Source organism: Homo sapiens, chromosome 10 (assembly GCF_000001405.40).
Source record: "Homo sapiens chromosome 10, GRCh38.p14 Primary Assembly".
NCBI lineage: Eukaryota > Metazoa > Chordata > Mammalia > Primates > Hominidae > Homo > Homo sapiens.
This window is the reverse complement of record NC_000010.11, coordinates 81,610,070-81,613,960: the sequence shown is the minus strand read 5'-3', so window position 1 is coordinate 81,613,960 and position 3,891 is coordinate 81,610,070.

Genomic DNA, 3,891 nt, shown 5'->3' with positions numbered 1-3,891 from the left:
TGCTAAAGCAGTTTTTTCTTATAGTGTCCGGACTGCTCTCCAAGTCAATGCTCTTCCATGGCCTAGATTTTATGATCACACAGAGGAAAAGTGGACTGCAGGAAGACAATTACCTTCAACCATTTTGGTGATTCACTTCCAGTTCCTGACTAGTCCTGGCCACGCAGTCTGTCTGTTTTCTTCTTCTTCCTCCATTTTAGCATTTCCTGTCACTCATCTGTTCATTCTCCATGCTCCCTCTTAGATAATGTATGCAAAGCGTGATCATCTACACACTATTTTGGTTCCTCTAAGTGGATGAGAGCTGCCTAAAATGCCTCTAGTCAACCATTTTGGGAAAAAAAAACTGTCCAGAATTTCTAAATCTCAATAAGATGAAGGCAAACAATCCATTAAAAATGTGGAAATGGGCCGGGCACGGTGGCTCACGCCTGTAATCCCAGCACTTTGGGAGGCCGAGGCGGGCGGATCACGAGGTCAGGAGATCGAGACCATCCCGGCTAAAACGGTGAAACCCCATCTCTACTAAAAATACAAAAAATTAGCCGGGCGTAGTGGCGGGCGCCTGTAGTCCCAGCTACTTGGGAGGCTGAGGCAGGAGAATGGCGTGAACCCGGGAGGCGGAGCTTGCAGTGAGCCGAGATCCCGCCACCGCACTCCAGCCTGGGCGACAGAGCGAGACTCCGTCTCAAAAAAAAAAAAAAAAAATGTGGAAATGATTTAAAAGACACTCTGCCGAAGAAGATACATAAATGTTCAATGACTGTATAAAATACGACTAAAATAATTAATAACCAGAAAAATGCAGACTAAAGCCACAATGTGATATCACTGCATTCTCATTCAAATAGCCAATGTCTACAGAACTGACAATACCAAATATTGATGATGTAGAACAACTAGAACAGTGATAAACTGGTAATGATGTAAAGCAACTGGAACTCTTATAAATTGATAGTAAGAATGCAAATTGGTGCAATCATTTTGAAAAACGCACTTTAAAAAGTAAAGTTAAACAAACTCTTACCTTACACCACAACAATCCACTCATATTTAATTTACCTAGGATCTAAACATGTATACATCCACCCAAAGTCATGTACATGAATGCTCAAAAAAGATATATTTCTAAGAGCACTATATTGGAAAAAAACAAAATATCAAACAACTAGCAAATGAATAATCAAATTATGGTCTATCCCTAAAATGGATTTTTCTCAGTCATAAAAAATAACAAACTACTGATCCATGACAGACCATAAATGAATTTCAAAAGCACAACATTAAAAAGCCAAAAACAACAACAAAATTAGATACTGAATTTAATCTGTATGACATTATAGAAAAGGCAAAAATATAGGATAAAGAAGTAGATCAATGGTTGTCAAGGGATCATGAAGGAGAAGATGACTCTGCAAAATAGGCATAGGGTTAATTTTGAGGTTGATGGAAAGTTTCTATATCATGATTGCAGCATTGGTTATATGGCTGTAAACATTTGTCAAATCATCAAACTACATACTGTATTTTTTAACAGTTTAAATAAGGTAATATTTATATGCACTAAACTGCCTCTGCTGTAGTGTACAATTTGATGTGTTTTGGCATAAACTCATAAAACCAGCAGCACATTCAAAATAATAAATATATGCATAAACCTCAAGAATTTTCCCTTTTAAAATTTCTTCCCTTTCCTCCCTCTCTATCCACTACTTTTCAGGTAAGCATTAATCTGCTTTCTACCACTATAGAATTCATTTTCTAGAATTTTGCATAAAAAAACAAGTATTTACTGCTTGTCTGACTTCTTTCTTTTAATATAATGACTTTGATATTCATTCTCATTGAATTAACAGTTTATTTCTTTGGATTACTAAATGGTATTCCATTTTATGGATGTACTGCAAACATTTTATTCATTCAAATTTGGGTTTCCATATTTTTCTATATATAACTAAAGTTGTTAAGACTATTAAAGTTCAAGTATTTGTATGGATACACACTTTCATTCCTATTGGGTAAATGTCAAGGAGGGAGTAGAATGACTGGGTGATATAAGTGAATATTTACAGTGAAGGAACTTCTAAACAATTATGAAAATATTTGTAACATGTATATTCCCACAAGGCGTGCATGAGAATTCTGATTACTCTATCATCTCACCAATACTTACTATGGTCAGTTCCTTTAATTTCCTGTAGGTGTGTAAGAATATTTAATTGTGATTATAAGTGTACTTTCATAAAGAAAAACTGTTACCCATGAAGTTACCTTCATTGACTTGCTTCAAGGAAACATGCAAAACTCTGGGTTTCTCATATTTCCTCTCTTTGTCACCTGGGAACTAAAGATTGCTTAGATAGGTGAGGCACAGTGGCTCACACCTATAATCCCAGCAGTTTGGGAGTACGAGGGAGGCAGATAATTTAAGCCCAGAAGTTTGAGACTAGCCTGGGTAACATGGCAAAACTCCCCCTATAAAAAATATAAAAATTAGCCTGGAGGCTAAAGTGGGAGGATTACATGAGCCCAGGAGGTCAAGGCTGCAGTAAGCCAAGATTGTGTCACTGCACTCAGGCTGGGTGACCAGAGCCAGACCCCGTCTCAAAAAAAAAGAAAAAAGAAAAAAAAGAAAAAAGGATTGCTTTTAGATAAACTAAACTTGATTCCTTCCTTGGCCAAGGCATCTTGTGCCATCAGGTTTATTTTGAAGAAGCTCAGCCCCAAGTTGCTACAAGGCTGGAAATATTTTAAACAAGAGACAGAGTAGTAATCTTTTCTGTGTTTACATTTCTTATCCATCTGTATGATACACGTACACTCTAGGATTTTAGCTTGGAGATGAGAGATAGAAATACATACTTCAGTCATCTTTTACGCCCTATCACTTTTCTTCTTCACAAAACCCCTTGGTAGGGTATTAGGGAAAATTGATTGCTCTTCCCTTTTCAGAGCTAGACTTACTATTATTATTTTATTTTATTTTGAGACGGAGTTTCGCTCTTCTTGCTCAGGCTGGAGTGCAGTGGTGCAACCTCAGCTCACTGCAACCTCTGCCTCCCGGGTTCAAGCGATTCTTCTGCCTCAGCCTCCCACATAGCTGGGATTACAGGTGCGTGCCACCATGCCCAACTGATTTTTTGTATTTTTAGTGGAGACAGGCTGGTCTGGAACTCCTGGCCTCAAAAGATCCGCCCATCTCAGCCTCCCAAAGTGCAGGGATTACAGGCATGAGCCACCACGCCCGGCTGCTAGACTTTTAAGAGTGAAATTTTGGTCTTTTGCTTTTTCTAGGTCATATTCTTTCTGACTCTAGCTTCATGGCTTTACCTCAATTACAAGTGAGTGGGGCTTAGAAGTAAGTTCAAATTAATAAAAAAGCATAAATCAGCTGACATTTGAAAACATTATACCTGTTCTCACATATAAAAAATTAAATTGTATAGGTATGTATAAAAACAGTCACTTCCCCAATATTAATCTATAAAGCTGACAATTTGAATGAATGCTTCAAAGTGAGTTTCATTTTATGGTACAGAGAAAAGATTTTTGGAAGCTTTTATCAGAACTCTAAATTCACTCTGATGCATGTGGAACACTAATACAGCCAGCTGTGCATATTTTTCTGAATAGAAATGCTTTTGTATGATAGAGCAGAAGGCGATGACACACACAAATATAACCTTTTATACAATTTGATCAATGTGATCTTAATCAAGACAATACTGACTAAAGAAATATCCCTGGGGAAACCTTTTGGTTTAGAAAGGTGGTAGTCGTACCTGATATTTGGTGTGTCATAGTGCCTTGAGAGTAAGGATGGGGCCATATTGACTGTAGTAGACTAACATATCTTCCACTGTACCCCAACCTGCATCTCTTTAGATTCTT